Consider the following 24,769-nt stretch of genomic DNA (forward strand, 5'->3'; position numbering starts at 1 on the left):
ATGGGCTTGCCCACCCCAGTCCTACCCAGGTTTGCCCCTTACAGTAGCCTTGGCAGCAGAGCTTGGGGCAGGACACCTGGGAGCTCTATGTCCTGCCCATCACCTGGGACCCCACAGAACTTCCCCGATTAACAAAGGCCATGCATAAATTCCACTGCCATCACAATTGCCTCTTCCCTACAAGTTCCACCTCTAGGCCGGGTGATGAACTGCATGTCCCATCACAGCTTTCCTTGATATCATTGTACAGCTCTCAGCTGGCTCTTACCCACAATCACCACCTGCTGGCCTGTAGAGTGAACTGCACAACCCAATATAATTTCTGCTGCCAGAAGTACACAGCACTGGGGGAGAAGATGAGTCTCCTGAGACCTCCACCTCTCCATGTCTGTAGGAGATAGTGAACCTGACCACACACACAGCCTACCGCTCCCATAACCTAAAAACAACAAGCATTTGAGAAAACTACTATAGGATCTCTATAACTAAGGAGTTTATATGGAGCCTTGGCCCCCTAAAAGCACAAAGAAACAAAGTCAAAGGACTTTACCCAGCACATGCAACAGTCACATCCTCAAGGGGAAAAATAGCACTCAAATGAAAGTAAATTCAAAAATAATGAGTGACAGCTTATCCAAACGAGAAGGAATCAGTATAAGAACTCCAACACCATGTAGAAACAGAATGCTGTGACATCTTCAAAGGACCACATTAACTCTCTAGCAATAGATTCAAACCAAAATGAAAATTCTGAAATGACAGATCAAAAATGCAAAGTATGAATTGTAAAGAAGCTCATTGAAATCCAAGAGAAAGTTGAAAACCAACGCAAAGAAATCAGAAAAACAATTCAGGATATAAAAAATGAGATAGACATATTTTTAAAAAATCTTATAGAATGAAAATTTCACTGAAGGACGTCCAAAATACAGTTGAAAGGGCTAACAATAGACTAGACCAAGCAGAAGAAAAAATTTCAGAGCTTACAGACCAGACTTTCAAACCCAGTCTCAGAAAAATAAAGGAAACATAATTTAGAAAAAATGAACAAAACCTTTAAGAAACATGAACCATGTAAAACATGTAAATCTACAACTTATAGGCATTCCTGAGGGAGAAAAAGAAAAAGCAAGAAATTTGGAAGACATATTTGAGGCAATAATTGAAGAAAATTTCCCTGATCTTACTAGAGATGTAGATATCCACATGCAAGAAATTCAGAAAACAACTAGAAGATGCCATACAAGGCAAACATCCCCAAGGCATATAGTTACCAGACTTTCCAAGGTCAATATTAAAGAAAAAATAATTTAAAAGGAGCTAGGGAGAAGCATCAAATTACCTATAAAGGAAATCCCATCAGACTAATAACAGACTTCTCAGTGAAATTTTACTAGCCAGAAGAGATTGGGGGCCTATTTTTAGCCTTCTTAAAGAATAAAAATGCCACCCAGGAATTTGATATCCTGCCAAACTAAGCTTCGTAAAAAAAGGAGACGTAGAGTCTTTCTCAGACAAGCAAACACAAATGAAATTCATCATCACTAGACCAGACCTACAAGAAATACTCAAAGGAATTCTAAACATAGAAACAATGATACTGACCATAATAAAATCACATATAAATACAAAGCACATAGACTCTATAAAGCAATTATGCAAGTGAGACTACAAAACAACTAGACAACAATACCATGAGAGGAACAAACCCTGAAATATCAATATTAACCTTGAATGTAAATGGCCTAAGTGCTCCACTTGAAAGATGCAGACCAGCAAATTGGATAAAAAAGCAAACCCAACCATTTATTGCCCACAAGAGACTCAACTAATAGGTATAGATACAGACTCAAAGTTAAAGAATGAAAAATAAGTGGGAGTAGTTACTTTCATATCAGATAAAACAGACTTTAAATCAGCAACAGCAAAAAAAAAAAGAAGGTCATAATATAATGATAAAGAGTTCAATTCAACAGGAAGATTTAACAATCCTAAATATATATGCACCCAATATCAGAGCACCCAGATTCATAAAACAAATACTGATAAACTTAAGAAAAGAGATTGACAGCAATACAATACTAATGTGGAACTTCAACACCCCCACTGATAGTACTAGACACATAATTGGGGCAGAAAATCAACAAAGAAACTTTGGACTTAAACTGGACTCAAGGCCAAGCGGACCTAACAGACATTTACAGAATATTCCACCCAATAAATGCAGAATATACATTTTTTTCTTCTGCACATGTAACATTTTCCAAAATACTCCATATCCTTGGTAATAAAGCAAGTCTCAATAAATTAAAAAATTGAATAATATCAAGTATCTTCTTGTACAACAGTGAAGTAAAATTAGAAATCAATACCAAGAGGAACTCTTGAAATTACATGAGTACATGGAAACTAAACAACTTGCTCCTGATTGGCTTTTGGGCAAACAATAAAATTACAGCAGAGACCAAAAAAGTTCTTAAGTGAATGAAGATAGAGACACAACATGCCAAAACCTATGAGATACAGCACAAGCAGGGCTAAGAGGAAAGCTTACGGCATTAAATGTCTACATAAAACATACAGAGAATTCTCAAATAAACTACTTACTGTCACACCTTAAGGGACTAGAAAAACAAAAATAAACCAAACCTAAAGTAAGCAGAAGAAAAGAAATAACAAAGATCTGGTCAGAAGTAAATGAGATTGAGACAAAAAATACAAAGGATTAAAGAAATAAAAAGTTGGTTCTTTGAAAGGACAAAGAAAATGGAAAGACTGTTGGCTAGATTAACAGAAAAGAGAGAGAAGATTCAAATAAGCACAGTCAGAAATGATAAAGGTGACATATAATTTATACACAGAAGTACAAAAGATTATCAGAGACTACTTCAAGCATATCTATACACACAAACTAGAAAAACTAGAAGAAATGGATAAATTCCTGGAAACATACAATCTTCCAAGATTAAACCAGGAAGAAATAGAAATTTTGAGCAGACCGATAGAGAGTAATTAAACTGAATTAGTAATAAAAAATCTTCCAACAACAACAAAAAAACCCAGGATCCCAGATGGATTCACAGCCAAATTCTACCAGATGTACAAAGAAAAGCTGGTACCTATGTTACTGAAACTATTCCAAAAAGTCAGGAAGGAGGGATTTCTCCCTAATGCATTGTATGAAACCAATATCACCCTGATAACAAAATCAGGCAAGCGCACAACAAAAGAAGAAATCTACAGGCCTATATTCCTGATGATCATAGATGAAAAAATCCTCAACGAAATACTAGCAAACAAAATCCAATGGCACATAAAAAAGATAATATATCACAATGAAGTGGATTTTATTCTAGGGATGCAAGGATGGTTCAACATACACAAATTAATAAATGTGATTCACCACATAAACAGAATTAAAAACAGAAACCATATGATCATCTCAATAGATGTAGAAAAAGCATTAAATAAAATTCAATATCTCTTCATAATTAAAACCCCCTATCAAACTAGGCACCAAAGGAACATACCTCAAAATAATAAGATCTATCTATGACAAACCCACAGACAGTATCACGCTGAATGAGGAAAAGTTGAAAGTATTCCCCCTAAGGACTGGAGCAAGACAATGATGCTCACTCTTACCATTCCTATTTGACACAGTACTGGAAGTCCTAACCAGAGCAATCAGGCAGGAGAAAGAAATAGCGGGCATCCAGATTGGAAAAGAGGAAGTCAAATCATCTCTGTTTGCTAATGATGTAACTGTTTTACCAAGAAAACCCTAAACACTCTTCCAAAATACTCCTAGACCTGATAAATGACTTCAGCAAAGTTTCAGGGTACAAAATCAATGCATAAACATCAGTTACATTTCTATACACCAATAACATTGATGCTGAGAATCAAATTAAAAACTCAATCCCATTTATAGTAGCCATAAAAATGCATAGAAATACATTTAACCAAGGAGTTGAAAGATCTCTACAAGGAGAACTATAAAACACTGATGAAAAAAAAAATGTCAGTGACAGAAATTAAGGGAAAAAAACCCGATGTTCATGGATGGAAAGAATCAATATTATTAAAAATGATCATACTACCCCAAACAGTCCACAGCTTCAATGCAGTTCCTGTAAAATTACCAAGTTCATTTTTCACAGAATTAGAAAAAACAATCTTAAAGTTCATACAGAATGAAAAAACAAAAAACAAAACAAAAAAAGAGCCCACATAGCCAAAGCAATCCTAAGCAAAAAGAACAAGCTTGGAGGTATCACATTACTTCAAATTACAGTACAAGACTATGGTAACTAAAACAGCATGGCACCAGTATGAAAATATTAATAAATACATAGATCAATGGAACAGAATACAGAACAAAGAAGTAAAACCACATACCTAAAACAAACTGATCTTAGACCAAGTTGACAAAAATCAACAATGGGCGGAAAGGATATCCTATTCAATAAATAATGTTAGGAAGACTGGCTAGCTATATGCAGAAAAATGGTACTTTCTCACAGTATACAAAAATTAACTCAAGATGTATTAAAAATCTAAACATGAGGCCTGAAACTATAAAAATCCTAGAAGATAACCTAGGAAAAACTCTTCTGGACATAGGCTTAAGAAAAGAATTTATGACTAAGACCTCAAAAGCAAATGCTACTGAAACAAAAATAGACAAATGAGACTTAATTAAAAGCTTCTGCACAACAAAAGAAACAATCAACAGAGTAAACATATAGCCTATAGAAGGGGAGAAAATATTTGCAAATTATGCATCTGATGAATGACTAATATTCAAAATCTTCAAGGATCTCAAACTCAACAAGAAAAATTCAAATAACCCCATTAAAAAATAGACAGGCTGGATGTGGCAGCTCTCATGCTTGTAATCCCAGCACTTTGGGAGGCCAAGTGGCCAAAGTGGGCAGACTGCTCAAGCCCAGGAGTTCGAGACCAGCCTGGGTAGCATGGTGAAACCCTGTCTCTACTAAAAATCAAAATATTAGCCAGGTGTGTGATGGGCACCTGTGGTCCCAGATACTTTGGAGGCTGAGGTGGAAAGATCGCTTGAGCCTGGGAGGTGCAGGTTGCAGGGAGCTGAGATTGTGCCACCGCATTCCAGCCTGAGTGACAGAGACCCGTCTCAAAAGAAAAAAAAAAAGTGGGCAAAGGACATAAATAGACATTTCACAAAAGAAGATATACAAGTGAGCAACAAACATGAGAAAATTCTCAACATCACTAATCAGAGAGATGCAAATTATACCACAATGATATACTATCTTACATCAGTCAGAATGGCTATTATTAACATTATTATTGTTTTAACTTTTTTCTTAAGTTCAGGAGTACATGTGCAGATTTGTTAGGTAGGTAAACTCATGTCATGTGGGTTTGTTGTAAAGATTATTTCATCACCCACGTATTAGGCCTATTACTCATTAGTTATTTTTTCTGATCTTTTCCCTCCTTCCACCCTCTACCCTCAAGTAGGCTGCAGTATCTGTTGTTCCCCTCTATGTGTCCATGTGTTCTCATCATTTGGCTCCCACCTATAAGTAAGAACATGTGGTATTTGGTTTTCTGTTCCTGCACTAGTTTACTAAGGATAATGGCCTCCAGCTTCATCCACGTTCTTGGCAAAAGATGTGATCTCATTCTTTTTTGTAGCTGCATAGTGTTCCATTGTGTATACATACCACATTTTCTTTATCCAGTCTGTCATTGATGGAAATCTAGGTTGATTCCATGTCTTTGCTGTTGTGAATAGTGCTGCAGTGAACATTTGTGTGCATGTGTCTTTACCGTAGAATGATTCATAGTCCTTTGGGTATATACCCAATAATGGGATTGCTGGATCAAATGTAGTTCTGTTTTTAGCTCTTTGAGGAATCACCATATTGCTTTCCACAACGGTTGAATCAATTTACACTCCAACCAACAGTGTATAAGTGGCATATATTTCTCCACAACCTGGCCAGCACCTGTTATTTTTTGACTTTTTAATAACAGTCATTCTTACTTGCGTGAGATAGTATCTCGTGGTTTTGACTTTCATTTCCCTAATAATCAGTGATATTGGACTTTTATTCATATACTTGTTGGCTACATGTATGTGTTTTTTTTTGAAAAGTGCCTGTTCATGTCCTTTGCTCACCTTTTAGTGGGTTGTTTCATTTCTTTTCGTGTAAATTTAAGTTCTTTATAGATACAGGGTATTAGAGCTTTGTCAGATGCATAGTTTGCAAATATTTTCTCCCATCTGTAGGTTGTCTGTTTACTCTGTTGGTAGTTTCTTTTGCTGTGCAGAAGCCCGTAAGTTTAATTACATACCATTTGTCAGTTTTTAGTTTGGTTGTGATTGCTTTTGGCATCTTCATCATGAAATCTTTGCCCATGCCTCTGTTCAGAATGGTATTGCCTAGGTTGTCTTCCAGAGCTTTCTTTTTTTTCTGTTTTTTTTTTTTTTTTTTTTTTTGAGATGGAGTCTCACTCTGTTGCCCAGGCTGGAGTGCAGCGGCACGATCTCGACTCACTGCAAGCTCTGCCTCCCAGTTCACGTCATTCTCCTGCCTCAGCCTCCCAGGTAGCTGGGACTACAGGTGCCTGCCACCATGCCTGGCTAATTTTTTTGTATTTTTAGTAGAGACGGGGTTTCACCGTGTTAGCCAGGATGGTCTCCATCTCCTGACCTCATGAACCTCCCACCTCGGCCTCCCAAAGTTGCTGGGATTACAGGCGTTGAGCCACCGTGCCTGGCCTTCCAGAGTTTTTATAGTTTTGGGTTTTACAATGATGAGTGATCTTTTAATGTGTTCTTGAATTCAGTTTGCTGGTATTTTGTTGAGGATTTTTGCATTTATATCCATCAGTGATATTGGTCTGTAGTTTTCTTTTTTTAATGTGTTTTTGTTTTTTGTGTCAGGGTAATACAGGTCTCATAGAATGAGTTTGGAAGCATTCTCTTCTCTATTTTTCAGAATAATTTGAGTAGATTTGGTATTAGGTTTTTAAAAGTTTGGTAGAATTCATCAATAGCCTTCAGGTCCTGGGCTTTTCTTGGCTGGGAGACTTTTTATTATGGCTTTGCTTTCATTATTCATTATTGATCTGTTCAGGTTTTGGATTTCTTTATGGTTCAATCTTGGTAGGTTGTATGTATCTAGGAATTAATCTATTTCTTCCAGATTTTCCAATTTATTGGCATATTATTGTTGCTTATAGTAACCACTACTGATTCTTTAAATTTCTGTGGTATTGATTGTAATGTCTCCTTTTTCATCTCTAATTTTATTCATTTGGGTCTTCCCCTTTTTTTTTTTCTGAGTCTGGCTAGAATTTTGTCAATTTTGTTTGTCTTTTCACAGAGCCAGCTTTTTCTTTCATTGATCTTTTGTGTTGTTCTTTTCATTTCGGTTTCATTTATTTCTGCTCTAATCTTTATTATTTCTTTTCTACAAGTAATTTGGGGCTTGGTTTGCTCTTGCTTTTCTAGTTCTTTAGGATGAATCCTTAGGTTATTGATTTGAAATTTTTCTTCTTTTTTGATATAGGTGCTTACAGCTTTAAAATTCTCTCTTACTACTGCTCTCACTGTATCCCATAGGTTTTGGCATGTTGTGTTTCCATTACCATTTGTTACAAGAATATTTTCAATTTTCTTCTTAATCTCTTCATTGACTCACTTGTTATTCAGGAGCATATTTTAAAATTCCATGTGTTTGTAGAGTTTACAAAATTTCTCGTTATTGATTTCTAGTTTTTTATCCCTTTGTGGCTAGATAATATGCTTGATATTATTTTTTAAATTAATTAATTAATTGATTGATTTTGAGACAGAGTTTCACTCTGTCACCCAGGCTGGAGTGCAGTGGTGAGATCTTAGCTCACTGCAAGCTCCACCTCCTGGGTTCACACCATTCTCCCACCTCAGCCTCCTGAGTAGCTGGGACTACAGGTACCCGCCACCATGCCCGGCTAATTTTTTTTTTTTTTTTTGTATTTTTAGTAGAGACGGGATTTCACCATGTTAGCCAGGATGGTCTTGATCTCCTGACCTTGTGATCTGCCTGCCTGGCCTCCCAAAGTGCTGCGATTACAGGTGTGAGCCACCATGCCAGGATTTTTTTGGAATGTTTTAAGACCTAACACATGGTCTATCTTTGAGAATGATTCATGGGATGAGGAAAAAACGTATATTCTGCAACAATTAAATGAAATGTTCTGTAAATATATTTTAGGTCCATTTGGTTTATAGTGCAGATTAAGTCCAATGTTTCTTTCTTGTTTCTGTCTGGAGTGTATTTCTACTGTTGAAAATGGGATGTTGAAGTCTCCAGCTATTATTAGATTGGAATCTATCTCCATCTATAGCTCTAATAATATTTATTTTATATATCCAGGTGCTCCAGTATTGGGTGAATATATATTTACAATTGTTCTATCATCTTGCTAAATTGACCCCTTTATCATTATATAATGATCTTCTTTGTCTCTTCTTATAGCTTTGGATTTAAAATCTATTTTGTCTGATATAAGTATAGCAACTCCTGCTCTTTTTTCTTTAGTTTCCTTTGGTGTGGAATATGTTTTTCCTTCCCTTTATTTTCAGCCTATGTGTGTCCTTATAGGTGAAGTGTGTTTTCTGTAGGCAACAGGTCACTGGATCTTTCTTCTTCTTCTTTTTTTTTTTCAGCCACTCTATATCTTTATGTTGGAGAGTTAGGTTTGATTTACATTCAATGTTATTATTGATGAATAAGGACTTATTCCTGCCATTTTGTTATTTGTTTTCAGGTTGTTTTGTGGTCTTCTCTTTCTTCTTTCTTTCATTCTTGTCTTCTTCTAGCGACAATGATTTTTTCTGGTTATATGATGTAGTGTCTTGTTTTTTAGTTTTTGTGTGTCTATTGTATGTTTTTTGGTTTGAGATTACCATGAGGTTTGCAAATACTGTCTTTTAACCCATTATTTTAATCAGATAGCAACTTAAAACTACTTGAATAAACAAACAAAAATGCAAATAGAACACTAATAAAAATTCTGTACTTTAACTTTGTCCCCCGATCCATAACTTATTGTTTCTATTTATATATTATTTTACTGCTTATGTCTTGAAGAGTTGTTGTAGTTATTTTTGATTGGTTTATCTTTCAATCTTTCTACTTGAGTATTTTACATACCACAAGAAGAGTGTTATAATAGTGTGTGATTATAAGAGTGTGATTTTCTGTGTACTTACTATTGCCAGTGAGTTTTTTACCTTCAGATGATTTCATATTGCTCCTTAGCATCCTTTTCTTTCTAAACAAAGGGCTCTTTTTTATCATTTCCTGTAGGACAGGTCTAGTGTTGATGAAATACCTCAGCTTTTGTTTGTCTGGGAAAGTCTTTGTTTCTCCTTTACGTTTAAAGTAGGTTTTTGCCAGATATGGTATTCTAGGGTGACTTTTTTTTAACTTCAGCACTTTAAATATGTCATGCCACTCTCTCCTGTCCTCTAAGGTTTCCACTGAAAAGTCCACTGCCAGATATATTGGAGCTTCACTGTATGTTAGTTCTTTCTTTTCTCTTGATTCTTTTATGATCCTTTCTTCATCCTTGACCTTTGGGAGTTTATTAAATGTCTTGAGGTAGTCTTCTTTGGGTTAAATCTGCTTGGTGTTCTATAATCTTCTTGTACTTGAATACTGAGATAGTTCTCTAGGTTTGGGAAGTTCCCTCTTATTATTCCTTTGAATAAACTTTCTCTCTCTCTCTCTCAATCTCTCACTCTCCCTCCTGCCCTCCCTCCCTCTCTGCTTCCCTCCCTCCCTCCTCTTTAAGGTTAAGTACTCTTATATTTTCCCTTTTGAGGCTATTTTCTGGGTCTTGTAGGCATGCTTCATTTTTTAATTCTTTTTTCTTTTGTTTCCTCTGACTGTGTATTTTCCAATAGCCTGTCTTCAGTCTCACTAATTCTCTCTTCTGGTTGATGAATTCTTCCAGTAAGTGACTCTGATGTATTCTTCAGTACATTCATTGCATTTTTCATCTCCAGAATTTCTGTTTGATCCTTTATAATTATTTCAATCCCTTTGTTCAATTTCTTTGATAGAATTTTGAATTCCTTCTCTGTGTTATCTTGAATTTCTTTGAGTTTCCTCAAAACAGCTATTTTAAATTCTCCACCTGGAAGACAACACATCTCAGTTTCTCCAGGATTGTTTCCTGGTGCCTTATTTAGTTTGTTTAGTGAGGCCATGTTTTCCTGAAGGGTCTTGATGATTGTGGATGTTAAGTAGTGTCTGGACACTGTAGGATTAGGTATTTATTGTAGTGTTTGCCATCTGGGCTTGTATGTGCCTGTTATCCTTGGGAAGGATCTACAATCAGAGATGGTGGAGCCAGCCAGTCTTGTGTTGTTCTCATCAGGATGGTGATTTCCCTCAGGCCCTGGGCAGGTCCAGAGATGCCATTTGTACCCAAAGACTGGAGTCAAAACCTTAGAAATCTACCTTGCACTCTATTCTATGGTGGGTGAACTGACACTCAAACCACATGACACAGACTTTCTCACTCTTCCCTCCACTTCCACAGGCAGAGGTGCTTCATCCCACGGCCACCATCATCACAGGCCCACGGGGGCCTACTAGGCTACCGCTGATATTCAGTTACCACCCAAGGGCTCTCCAGTCAGCTTGTGGTAAATTCTGCCAGGCCTGGGACTCACCCTTCATGACAGTGGGCTCCTCTCCAGTCCAGTGCAGGTCAAGAAGTGCTGTCTAATGGGAGCCAGAGCCTGGAATCAAGAACCCCAAGAGTCCACTTGGTGCCCTACCCCACAGTGACCTAGTTGGTACTTGATTTTTGGTTCCTATGAATGTGCTCCCTTTGTGTAGGTAGTTGTCAAACTTAGTCTTCCTACTGGGAGGGATGATCGGTGGAACGCTCCATTCTACCATCTTGCTCCACTTCTCCAATCCATCTAATTTTGATGTGTGGCACTTGGTAGTTGATTGATGCCACATACATGAACTATACTGTAGTCTAGACTTTTGCTTTAATAAAAGTATAAATTTGCCTTAATCTCCTTGTTTTTGTTGTCTCTTTATTGTTCTGAATTTAGGTGCAGGAAAGTAGTCCAAAAACCCTGGTCTGTGAAACTTTCCATAAAAATTTCAGTTAAAAGTGTCATCCTCCTCTGAAATTCTATAGTATTGAAAAGGTAACACTCTCAAAGAGGGCTTTTTATTTTATATTCGTCTGTGAGCCATTTCTCTGTGGTAAGACTATAAGAAGCAGGAATAAAGAATAGATTACCTTATACTTCTATTATCCTTTTTAGATCCTGGTTAGATTGTAGGCACTTTAAAATTTGAGTGTGTTTACCTATTTTCTCAGTTCACATTTTCCTTGTCCCAAAGATATTTTATGCACCTTTATCTTTCCATCTGCATGTTTAAATATTAAATATTAAATAATTTGCAAAAGTAATTATAATTGCTCTATATAAGAATAAGAATCTTTAAAAAAGTAATTACATGTACATTGTTGTCTCATTAACATTTTACTAAAATAATTTTTAATTTACCTGAAATTTTCTGACATTGTAATATTTTTTCATGTTATAAAATAGCCTAATGTACAAGAAAATATTACCAAGTGACATAACATGAAAAGCCCTTTGTAAGCTCCTGGTGCAATTTTTAATACCATTTTGGTATTAAGATTAGAAGACTTCAAAAATAATTTATTCTGAAGATATTTTGGCCATTAAAATATTTTCTAAAATATTATAAAAACAGAACTTTCTGATTTTGTCTCTTTCTCTGTTGTACTTTATGTTCCTCCTTACATGCTAGTAAGTCTTTAAGTGGTCTCTATTTTTCTTCTCTTTTTTAGATGTCATATTCATACTAGTTAATCATCCACAGTCAGCTACGGGGAGATCGCTGCTTTAAGGCTATATTCATCAGCTTGGTGGTTATGATGTTTTGGTGATTTATGGATGTTTATGACTCACGTATGGATACAAATGAGGGCTGTCACTGTCCCATCGCCTTCCTTCCCAGGTCACTATAGTGCCATACCATCCGTGAACTAAGCCAAATAGACAAAAATCTATAATTGCAAAACTAGTCACACCTCCAGTAGAAAAGAACCTCAAGACAGATAGCTCCACGCAGTCTTAGGTAAACCAGCACACTGCAGTGGCATAGATGACTTTGAACTGCACCAGCTCTAAAAACAAAATTGAATATGATATTTAGACATTCTCATTACACATGTGTGCATCATCAGGAGGCATGTTTTCACTTCTGTCTCTCTGGCTTAGATTTTCAAGGCAAGACTTTGAAAAAGAACTGCTTGAAGGAGAGAGACAGAGGAACTATACACATCCTTATATGCTGAATTTTCACATTAGTTAGTCCTTAGGTCAGCCTTATTGGATGAGGCATTGGTGATGATGAGGCAGCTTGCAGGCATCCCCCTGAAAATACCAGTCGAAACCCAGGTTGTGAAACTGCCAAGTGCTGACAAGGATATATCAACAGGCTGGAGGAGATATAAAAGAAATGGTCCTTGGCCCATGACGTATGTACTGTATCTGGGATATTTAATGATGAAGATGAAAAAACATCAACCTGTGTTTATCTAATCTATTATTTCAGCACTGATGTTTATAGCAGATTAAAAATGACTGGTCATAATTGAAAGAAATGTAAAAGAAACAGTAATTTATACTACATGAAAATATTTTTCATGGCTAAATCAAATGAGCATTATGTTTTAAGGGATTAAATATATGCTTAACTACCAGATTTCTACAAATCATGCTAAAATTAAATCAGGAATATACACAATTAAAACAGCCAATGGTAATTATTTAATAAGAGTGATTATCATAGAACGTTAGTCTTTAAAATAGTATTATATTGAAATTAGCTATCTGTGATAGTCATTAGTATTATACTAAATATTTTACATTTATTTCTAAAATAATGTAATGTTATAGCAATTTTAATTTACATTATGTAAGAAATGGTCCTCTGGTAGCCAGGCAATTGTCTCAACTAGTATAACAGGTGAGAAAGTTCCCTGTAAATTGTGACATGCAATTCAACTATAACCTTTAAAAAAATAAAATTAGAAAGTTTCAAAAATTTTAGATTTCAGATACACTGGCATTAAAAAAAGTCTTAGAAGACATATCCACCCTCTAGAAACAGGAAAGTCGGCTAACTCAATTTTCCAAAACATATACTCTGAAATGTTACTATGTATATAAGAATTTTAATGATTAAAAGATTAAGAAAATGATTAAAAATTATACCATTATTTCAAAGTTCAAACTATGTATAATTTTGTATTTTCACACTTGACTCATTTCTTATCTTTCCTTCTAACTTTCCTGTTTTCTCTCCTTGTCTTTGGAAATTATAACTTAAATATTTCTCTCCAGACTTGTATCATGTCTAATGTATGACAATTTTATGTCATCGCTGAGGGAATGAAGAACCTCTTTAACTTAACTAATGTCACATGTCCTGATAGTGACGTGTTTGACAGAGATTTGCCATCACAGTTCAAGGATGCAGGCTCCTTTAAGAATATTGGCTCTGACTGAGACATTTAGATATGCAGGAGGTCATGTGGTGTGCCTCCACCTGGAGGCAAGGGGTTCCCTGGCTCCACATAGCTGCTGGAAACCTCAGCCATCTATGAGCATGCCTGCATGAATTAAAGATTCCAGTGGATGCAAGAAGATTAGATCTCTGATTCACATGAGTTCTTTATGCATTCCAGGCTTCTCAGCAGAATCTGGCAAAACCACCAGGGCAATAGCCCTAACATTGAGAGTGTGCCCAGAAATATGTTTTAGCTTGCTAGGGCTGCCATAACAAAGCACCACAAAGTGAATAGCTTAAACAACAGAAATGTGTAGTCTCCCAGTTCTGGAGGCTGGAAGTCCAACATCAAGGTGTCCTTAGGGTTGGCTCTGTCTGAGACTGTGAGGAAGAATCTGTTCATGCCACTCTCCTAACTTCTGGTGGTTTGTGGCAATCTTTGGCCTTCCTTGGCTTGTAGGTGTATCATCCCAATCTCTGTATTCATGGTTGCAGGACATTCTCCATGTTGGTGTGTTTGCATCGAAATTTCCCACCCCCCTTTTGAGACGGAGTCTTGCTCTGTCGCTCAGGCTGGAGTGCAGTGTCACGATCTCGGCTCACTGCAAGCTCTACCTCCTGGGTTCATGCCATTCTCCTGCCTCAGCCTCCCAACTAGCTGGGACTACAGATGCCTGCCACCATGCCCGGCTAATTTTTTGTATTTTTAGTAGAGATGGGGTTTCACCATGTTAGCCAGGATGGTCTCGATCTTCTGACCTCGTGATCCGCCCTCCTTGGCCTCCCAAAGTGCTGGGATTACAGGCGTGAGCCACCGTGCCTGGCCCCAAATTTCCCCTTTTTATGACACCACCAGTCACACTGGATTAAAGACCCATCCTATCCCCATGGTGACTTCATCTTGACTAACTACATCTGCAATGACACTATTTCCAAATAAGGTCACATTCTGAGGTAGTGCAGGTTAGGACATCAACATATGAATTTTGGAGGGACACAATTTAGTTCATAACAATATCTAGGAGGCCAGTGGTCCTTGAAGTGCCATGAATGGGCTGGAGTGCATAGAGCGGTAGGTTGAGGTCATACAAATAAAAGCTACGAGATTGCCTAGGGCCTTGTGGGTGGTTGGTAACATCTCAGGTTTTTACTCTGAATGATACAGGGTTTTGAACAGCAGAGTGACATGAACTGATTTTTAAAAAGATAGCACTGGCTGGCAGATATAGACTCGTCTGTAGGTTGGCAAGGGTAAAAGTGAAGAGACAGCTTGCAAGCTTTCATGAATATCCAGGCAAGAGATAACACCGGATAGATAACAGTGCTAACAGCCAGAGCTGCTGCCAAGTGGTCAGGTTCAGAAATTAGAATTTTGAAAGTAGATGGGATAGGATTTAATGATAAATTCTACGTGGGATATGACAGAGAGTGGAATCAAGCAAGGATCTAATGTTTTGGTCTGAGCAATTGGAAAGTGAGAATTGCTATTAAATGAGATGGGAAATGTTTGGGCATAGTATATTTAGGGGATGTGAACAAAAGCAGTCTAGAACTCCTGTCATTTGCCCGTTAGGTTTCCTAGACTTCAGGGTTTCCATTTCTCTGTGTTTTGAGCTATTTCTTTACTTGATCATTTAAGACACAAATCCCCATCTTGATAGAAATCGTTCTCCTCTTCAATTCATCCTTGTATTATACTTTTCTTTCATTATAAAATTTCATTTATATTTGTCACCACTTAATAAGAAAGTCATGACTACTTACTACACTTAAGAGTAAGTGCCCATTTGCTCTTCCCAGGTTCTTTATTCTCTGCCTTTTTATTCTTTCTTGTCATGGTCCAGCAAACAAAGGGTAAAAATCCAGTGCAGTATGATATACTGACCTACTTAAAAACATGCAAAGGACTTTTGTAGCTGTCTTATTAATATGCTTGAAATTGTCTTCTTCAATTTATTTAAAAGGCCTCCTTTACAAACAGCACAGACAAAAGATTATTCAGCACTGGATAAAGATAGCCTTCTTTTAAAGTGATTACACCTCTTTGTAGAAAATAATATTTAGGAACATTCAAATAGATAAGGTTTTTAATGAGAATACTGATGTTGCTATGTAGACACTTGGAGCAAGAATTATTTACTTTGTTTAACACGTGGCTTATCTGCCATTAATTAATTAATTAGTTTATTGTTCCTCCAACAGAAATTCATTATTGAGTTCCTACATGTGTCTGAGATTGTGGAGAATGGAGCATAAAACTTACTTTTGACTCATTTATTTCCTTTGGGAAGTTCTTAAAATGCCTTAGAGATATCACTTTTAAGACAGAACACACTCGTTTGTAGTATGATGAGGTTGACATGGGATATTTACATTTTTCAGGCTGCTTCTTCTGGCACTTGACCACACGAGGCTACTTTAACATCGGTGTTGGGCAGTTTCTGAAGCCTTTTCCTTTACTCCCAGCCATTGTTTTCCGTGGTTTGGTGTTAACATCTATATCTGTCTAAGCCCCACTCCTAACTGAGCCTTCCTGGGCTGGCAGCAATGGCAACATCCAGAGACCTGGGAGCCTGGGAGCCACATCATGTGTTGGGGGAAACAAGTGAGTGGAAGGACAGGGGAGGATAATAGCTGGTGTGTTTCAAGGATGGATTACTGGAACAGAGAGTCAGAGTCAGTGATTAATACACAATTTCTTAATCATAATTGGAAAGACAAAATATTCCTAGAGAATAAAAAAATGAGTAGCAGATATGACAGCAGAAGAAATGAGAAAGAGTACGAATTATGAGTTAGTTTTCAGTGACCCCAGTGTTTATACCATTGGACCAACCTCCCATCCACGTATTTTTGAAAGCTGCAATGCTTTTAACTGGATAACAAAAGACTGCTGAGTAAATGAGGATACACACATAGCTAGCAACTAAAATATGCCCTCATAAGCCTATGTATGAATCATTACATAATATATGTCTTAAGACTGAGTCTGACCAGACCAGAAATTTCTGAGCAAACCAAGATAAAAGAAATTAGTTGCTTTAATTCTCATTGATGCAGCTTCCTGCAGTGGGAGAAATCTATGCCGTTTGTCTTAGGCTTAGGTTCCAGAGCCTTCCTTAAATGCTCTTTAGAATCTAACTTTTTCCAGCTGATTAACTTTCCTTCCACTTTGTCTGTTGGCCTTATCCTGACTCCTACTCATGAGCTCATCTGCCTCAATCCTGACAGATGTATCACTTGTTCTTAAGCCCTCTGTGAGATGCATGTCATCTTGACCACATCCTGTCTGACTCTGTCTTCTGCCCAAGACTGATGAACCCAATCCACTTTATCTACTTGGGACAAACGTTGTTGCAATGAACAGACCTTCCTACCTCTATTCTAAGCTGACTTGTATTGGCTAAGCTTGGGGTCACAATTTTCATTACTGTTCAGTGCACACCATCATTTCCTTCCAGGGTCATAGTTAGAACTTTGACTAACATAAGAATGTTATCTTTGCTAATAGTAGGATCAATAACATGCATCCACTGATTATTGCTGTTGTCACACTGTATTCCATTACTGTGGTCTATATTCTTATTATATGATATTAAACCAACCACAAACTTTACACAATCCAATTCTTCCTACCTAAAGTGGCAGACAGGGAAGAAATACAATACAATCAGAATGTCTTTCTTTGTATAGTTTGAGTATCCCATATTGGAAGTGCTTGGGACCACAGTGTTTCTGACTGCAAATTTTTTTGGGATATTGGAGTATTTGCATATACATAATGAGATATATTGGGGATAGGACTAATATGTCTAAAGTCTAAAGACAAAATACATTTATGTTTCATATATATATCTTATGTACAAGGCTTTAAGGTAATATAATATTTTAAATAATTTTGTTCATGAAATAAAGTTTTGACTACTTTTAGACTCAACCTGTCACATGAGGTCCACTGTGGAATTTTCCACTTGTGGCATCATGTCACTGCTCAAAAAGTTTCAGATTCTGGAGCATTTCAAATGTTGGATTTTTGGATCAGCAATGCTCAACCGGTATTTGTGTTTGCCTTCGATTTTTTGAATGGAAATTGAAACTCACGTCTCAGAGAATGTTGAGGTATTCTGTAGATGCAGATGACTATACAGGTGTTTGTAGCTGGAAGTAAAAGTTAAAATTTCAGAGAAACAAAAAAGACATAAAATTTTTAAAATTTATAAGAAAATAACAAATTAATACAATTATAAGGATCCAAGTATTGCCCAAAAACACTGGAGTGTGCTTTGAAGAAAAGGAGGTATCCTTGTCTTGTGATGCTGGTGAGATAAAACGCAATAGGAGCTGAGTGTCTTCACAGAGCTCTAAAGAAAGGCAGGGAACTGCTGGGCTGAGAAGAATTTTGGAATTTGTGGCAAGAAAGGACACATTAGTCTTTCTATCTCTCCTGTCTTTCAAATACTGTCCGTAATGGTAGCTGTCATGCATTCTTTCATTGCTCTTCAAGGGATTTATCAGGACACATTATTTCATCGTGTATTATTAAATCAGTTTTTAAAATATCCTGATATTTTAAAATCAAACACGCAATAAAACCTTTGCTAGACTAAGTGACAGTATAAGTTTGAAAGTAGCCAGCTGCCTAAAATATTGCACATTTTTCAAAACCTAATTTAAGTATACTTTTTTTTATGGTGGGAAAAAAGTGAATCTTTCATTGAATTTTGAAGACAAATCAGGATTCTTAGGTAGAAATGGGCATCTGGCTATCACTAACTCGAGTGTGCATTTTGCTGCACTTCAGTAAAATTTTGATGGCTTCACCATATTTTTGAGTGGTTTTGCAGATAGCTTGGGTAGAACAAGGGATGGAACTATATTTATATTTTTATAGACGCTATCTTTGTTAAGCAGATATTTTCTTTTGAAAGCTTATAAAAATGACACTTATTCCAGGGAGAAATGTTCTCAAACTGAACATCATGCCTCTGAAGACAGAATGATGTAGTGAGGTCTTAGTGGCTGAAAAAAATATCAAGAAAGATTTGATAGAACTTATCAAAGGATTTAAGGAATTTAAAAAGGTTCCAAAATGGTGTGAAACTTATATCACAGATATTGATATTTAAATACGACTGTGTTGTCAATAGACAGAGGTTATGTCAAAAGATTGAATTGTGGTCAGCAGAATTTAGCCTAATCTTCTCAGTACTAGAGATTTTTTCCACATGAACAGGTACAGGGGGCTTACATTTAGCTAGATCATTGTTGAGTGTTGACATTTTCCTAGTGGAGTATGTCTGAATTGTCCCTTATTCTCTCATTTTGTATTTCATAGGGACTCAACTCTTCCGCATTCTTTTTCCCATTTATTTTCTTTTTTATTCCCATTCCTGGGCTGTTAAGGACATACATTGTCTTTTCTTATTTTACAGAGAACAAAAGTGTGACTTAATAGATTTCCCAAAGTGACAAGTAAATTATTAAGAAGTTAGGAGCTGGGTTAATAGGTCCCCAGTTGAAAAAGGACATGATTCTAATGATGCATTGCCACAAGACTGCTTAACAGTATCCATCTTAACCGCCTAGTAGAGCTCCTGTGACCGAGCCATGGAAATCTCCATGGGTTTCCTGATGCAAAGGAAGAAGTGTGGGCTTCCCTGTTGAGATCAGGTTGTCCTCAGGTTGAAGTCTAGTGGTTCCAGCCTTCTTCTAATGCCTTCCTTTCAGAAGATGGTTTCTGGGGGTAGGGTTAGTATGGAAATTATGACTACAACATTAAAGTGGCCAAACTGACTTTTGGGAATTATCTAGTCAAACAGAGCTGAACCTTTTAAGAAACTGTGAGGTGAAGTGTGCCTGAGTGTTCTGTCTCCTGGTAGGGTTCATTGTAAGCTCTGCTTTCTGTATTCTAAATGAAATGCCAGTATCCTTTTCTCCTAACTACGATTTGGGTCTCTGCAGGGTGTACAAAACCAATAGTGACAGTAGAGGAATCCCTTGGAGGAAATAAGTTTCTTATTATTTTAATCAAGCACATCAATTCAAGTCTTTATATTCCCAGGTTTTACAGCCATACATGATGTCATTTTCATATAAAAAAATCTTTGGAGCACTTTTTATTTAAGGTTTTATATCTATTTCGATAAAAAATCTATTTCAGCCACTGCAGGCTCTGCTTTTGGCACAAAAGTTTTGCTGTGCTGTTCAATTCAAATCAAGCCATATTCTTCCACCTGCTGTCTGCTGCTGCAGTGCCCAAGAAGCCGCTACTGTTGTTTGCCTTCTTGCTGATATAAGTGCTTGTCCCATAGGAAAGGCATCAGAGGGGAGCCCACATATTTAGCAACCAGTGGGGATTCTTACAGAAAGATAAAGAATATAAATGTAAGTCACCTGTTTGAACTAGTGAAGGCAAAACTGCTATATCCTAAGCTTACAGGGCCTAGGAAGGAGATAAGGGAAATAACTAGAATATGGATAGTTAAATAATTTGTATTAAATTTAGCCTCTTTGCCCAAGGAAGGCAATGGGTATCTCACAGGGGAAATTTTTCTTTTCTTTTCAGTTTAAAGCAGGTGGAAAAGAAGTCTACCATGTTTATTGTTCTAGAAAACTAGGTTTTGTTCCCAACATAATAACATAAAATCTATGGGGTTCATTTTGTTCAGTAGATAAAGTTAAATTTTAGATTAAATTTTCTGCTGAAAAGTTTTATATAAAGAGAGATAAAGCTGCTCAGCAGGCCTAGTTCAAAAACACTTAAGACAGCTCCTTATGTCCTATCGTGGAAGGAGAAAGAAATCAGAGGCCCCCTCTGGGCATGGGTGGGCTCTGACTCGGGGCTGCTTTGTCTCCACATCACACCTATCCGGGGTCTTCACGATTTCTGCAGTCAGCAAAAGTTGAGTGAATGCTTGGGAAATGTTTGCAGGAGGTGTCAGGAAACAAAACACCCTGTCATTAGAGAGCTTTTAGTCAAGTGTTGAGTTTACACTCCACACCTTTGTTCCAGTGACATTTACGTGCATTGGGTCATCATCAATCTGGAGAAACTGTGCATCTCAGGATATCACTCACAGTGAGTCAAAGAAAAATACCAAGAATTAGCAATGGAAGTAGCCAACTGATTTTTAGGGTTCTTTTAAAATCATTCTATCTGCTTTTTTTTTTTGCTGTTGTTCATAAAAATCAATAACTCTTAGTTGTGTCTCCTGAAAGAAAGAGATTGGGACATACCAAATCCCTGAATCTTGACTAGCAGCTGACTACCTGCCTAGACTCATGAGATATTAACTTAGTACAGCAGATGGTCAAGCAAATGTCCATCTTATTACTAGTTCCATAGTAATATTGATATGTATTTTAAATCAATATGTATTCTCTTACAATAGTGAATTTGGTGAACTGTCTATAAGCCTTGATCATACTTCTTGCTTAATCCAAGAAAGATTGAATTTTCTGCTCTGAGACTCTAAACTGTAAGACCCATATCCTGATCTTTGATCTCTAAGGTTTATTACTCTCATTTTCAGAAGTGACATAAATTTTTTTTATCACAATCTATTCCCATTTAAACTTCACGTATGTATGTCCTTCAGTAAACATGGTGCTGTGTTCTATGGCCTTTTTATGATTCATTTTTAACCTCAACTCACATAATAAAGGCTGACAGTGTAATGCGTGGTTTGAGACATTGGCTTCTGGTACAAGATGGTGTAGGTTCAAATCCCTGCTCCCCTGCTTGCTAGTTGTGTGACCTCAGGCAAGTGACTTAACTTCTGTTGTCTCAATTTTCTCATCTGTCAAATGGAGATAACAATGGCTCAGATGATTATATGAGCTAATAGACATAAAACACTTGGAATAGGGCCTGGCATGTGATAAGCCCAATTTGAGTGCATATTATCTAAGATCCCATCTTCCCAAGGCATAAAATACATGTGGGTGGGTTGAGTTCTACCAAAGGCTAAAATACCTAGCCAATATTTATATTGTTTCAATTGAGAATGCCTTTTCTTTTAAAGGGTGAAAAAATAAATGGTTTTAAGGACATGAAGGAAGTTATACTTTAAGTTTTTATCTAAATCTGTGATAAAATAGGCCATATAAAATGTGTGAAATTTTGAGAAACTCTTTTCAACTTACAAAGGAAAAGGAAATAGCAAGAATAACAATTATGTTTCGTAACTGTTTTTAGCTATCAGTGGCAAGATGACATTATAAAGTATTAAGAAGAACAAATAGACGTGAGGTGATTTAGCTCCTTAACGTCCTTTTGTTTACCTTATTGCCTTCCCTCTTACACACACAGACACACACATACACCCACACCCGAAGACCTGAAATCGGCTTCTACTGCTGTAGGAGCTACAGAGAGCATGGCAGTGATGCAGAGAGAAGCAAAGACCTTCTTGCTTTCAAAGGTCAAGGTCCTGGCTTAAACACTATGCTTGGAAAAAATACCATTGAGGGGTAAAGAAGAAAGTTGGAAAACATACCAAAATGATCACTGCCAATGAGAATCTGTAAAGGGAGCCGGGCACCTGGGGATCTGAATCTGGACACTATAGAGGCTCCAGATGTGTTAGAAAGTCTGTGAGCAGGTGAGGACTGTCTCTGCTTGCAGTCTGGTATCCTGGGTGGGGCTCTGCTTCTGTTGTATGTTAGCAGCCAACTCAAGATGGCCAAAGGGGATATCAAGAAGAGAATGGTCTGGAGACATCTTTACTAGGATTCCTGCAGCTGAGCAGCTGAGCCTCTCCATACCCTTGAGAAAGTCATGGAAGTAAGTTGAGAAAGAGAGTGAGAGGGTAAGAGAGCAACAGAATGTGTGAGAGACAGAGAACAAGTAGACTAGAGGGGATCTGGACACTGGAATGGATAGGGACAGTGGTCCGTGAGGAATGGACAATAGGATCAGATTCTCTGAGTGGGAGCACGCACCAGGGGATGCCAGTTAGGGTAGAGGCTGAACAAGGGTAAATGCCTCTCCTGAAGCTGGGAAGCTAATATATAAGAGAAAAGGCAAAGAGCCCTCACAGAGAAGAGGTAAGGGGATGAACTATGTATATATTTATGTAGAATTGACTGAATTTTCCCTCAGTTAAGATAAAGCTTTTTTGCAACTGCCTGTAATGGCAGCTTGAGATAGACATTATATTTAAGTATAAAACAGTCAATTTACAGATTCAAATATCCAATATTTGTGTGTTGGCAAAAGACCCCGCCCCCATCCAACACACACAGTATTGCAGACTACCAACCAGGGATGTGGTCACTCATGCAGTGGGTTCTCATCCTGTATGGAGAGGAGCTGTTCCATAGAGAAGGGTTTGAGAGCAGGCTGCATGGAAAGCCTGGGTGAAACTGTGACTGAGGAAACCCCACCCAAGTGTTCTCACCTTCTTCAGGAGGCATGGAAAGGCTCCTAGCTCAAGAGTTGTAGCCTGCTTTGGTGACACAGAGCATAGCCAGTCCTTATATTTCCTGCCAATGCTTCTAGGGCACAGCACTATTGACATTTTGGAGTGGATAATTTTTTGTTATTGGAGACTATTCTGCATATTCTAGAAAGTTAAGTAGCATTGTGGCCTCTACTAACTAAATGCCGGCAGTGTCCTCATTTACAGTTGTGACAAGGGAAACTGCCTCCAGACGTTGATAAATGCGCCCTGAGGGGCAAAATTCACCTCTGATTGAACCACTGTTCTAGAATATAAATTCTTTACTATATAAATGTCTCCTTGACTATAATATAGAAAACGAAAGCATCAGCATTCTGTAGATATGACAGGCAGCCCGACGAAGGTAAGATACAAGAGATGTGATAAAGGCTGTGAGGAAAATGGAAAAATGCCAGGCAAGTGAATTTTGGAGGATTGGCTTTTAGCATTTTTACTTACATTTTTATTTTTTGAATCAGACCTAAGTAAGTGTCATTGAAATTCAAGACCTTGCTCTGGAAAACTATTGAATATATTCTGAGAGCAGCTTTCTCTTTTACCTAAAATATTGCCTTTCATCTTTCTTTATACATCCTATTTCCCAAGCACTTAATCACATTTATTGCTCACCTTTGGACTGTCTCCAAAGTTTGCATGTCTGGGTAAAGTCTGGGGATGCTGATAAAGAAAACAAAAGGTGAAAGAAGAGTGAGGAGATCAGAGGAATTTCTGAACTGGAGTAAGATATCAGAAAATTTTAATAAGTGCTATAGTGAAGTAAGGGATTTTCAAGGAAGAAGGATAAAAAATTGATTGAGGAGACTCCTTGCATTTCATCTTGAATTTTAATAAGATCTAGTAGTGCAACATTGTGACTTAAAAGTTTTGAGATGGAGTAAAGAAATAATCTACAAAATATTATAAAATTAATATGAGTAAGTAGACAATAAGCCAGGAAACAATTACTCTGCTGTCACACTTATTTATTATACTGATTTTACTCTTAAGCAGAGTTTTATTTAGGTTTCAGAGTAAAAGAATCATATAAATCTTTCATTCTCAGGGAAACTGAGATTCATGATAGATGTACTTCCTCTATGCCCTGAAACTTGATTCCACAGTTCCAAGGCTTATGTGCAGTTTACTCTGGCACTATTTTATGTTGTCACACTCACAAAGCCTCCATAGTTTTAATAATTTGGATGATTTATAGGTTTGGGTATGAAAAGCTCAGTGTCATCATCATGTTCTCCAAGTCCCTAACTTATCTTTTTCCTCTTTAGGATTTGTGCCTATAATTAATTCAGCAACTTTAACGGCAAAATGTTTGCCTTATAATGAGATCCCCAGTGACACGAAAAGCCCATTTTTCAGGTAAGACGAAAATTGGTATTTCTTCCTTCGCCAGAGAGCTAATCTAAGAACAGGATTCAATCCATGGTTATATCAGGGTAACTGATCAAGTCCCAACAGTGCATGCTAAAATGAGGCTGGACTTACACTGCCGCTCTTTTCAGCTGAAAAACATGAAAGTGATTTTGGCCTTTTTATTATCCACCATGTGCTGTTGCCTGCCTTCTCCTAGAGTGGTTTTCTAGGCTGGGGATTTCACTTGTTTCACATTTCATATATCATGACTTATCTAAGTATCCAGTGCCTAAAACTTCTGCTACACTGGTCAAACAAAGAGCTCTGGGGCAGGAA

General features: G+C 37.2%; 1 long non-coding RNA gene across 1 annotated transcript in view; it reads left to right on the forward strand.

The window, feature by feature from the left end:
• The window catches only part of LINC02512 (long intergenic non-protein coding RNA 2512), a 56,319-nt gene extending 31,898 nt beyond the window's left edge, over positions 1-24,421 (forward strand). The window contains exon 3 of the long non-coding RNA XR_001741530.1: positions 24,349-24,421. This is a non-coding gene — a long non-coding RNA (long intergenic non-protein coding RNA 2512). The remainder of the gene's footprint in view (positions 1-24,348) is intronic.
• Positions 24,422-24,769: the final 348 nt, after the last annotated feature.

This window comes from Homo sapiens, chromosome 4, assembly GCF_000001405.40.
Source record: "Homo sapiens chromosome 4, GRCh38.p14 Primary Assembly".
Taxonomy (NCBI): domain Eukaryota; kingdom Metazoa; phylum Chordata; class Mammalia; order Primates; family Hominidae; genus Homo; species Homo sapiens.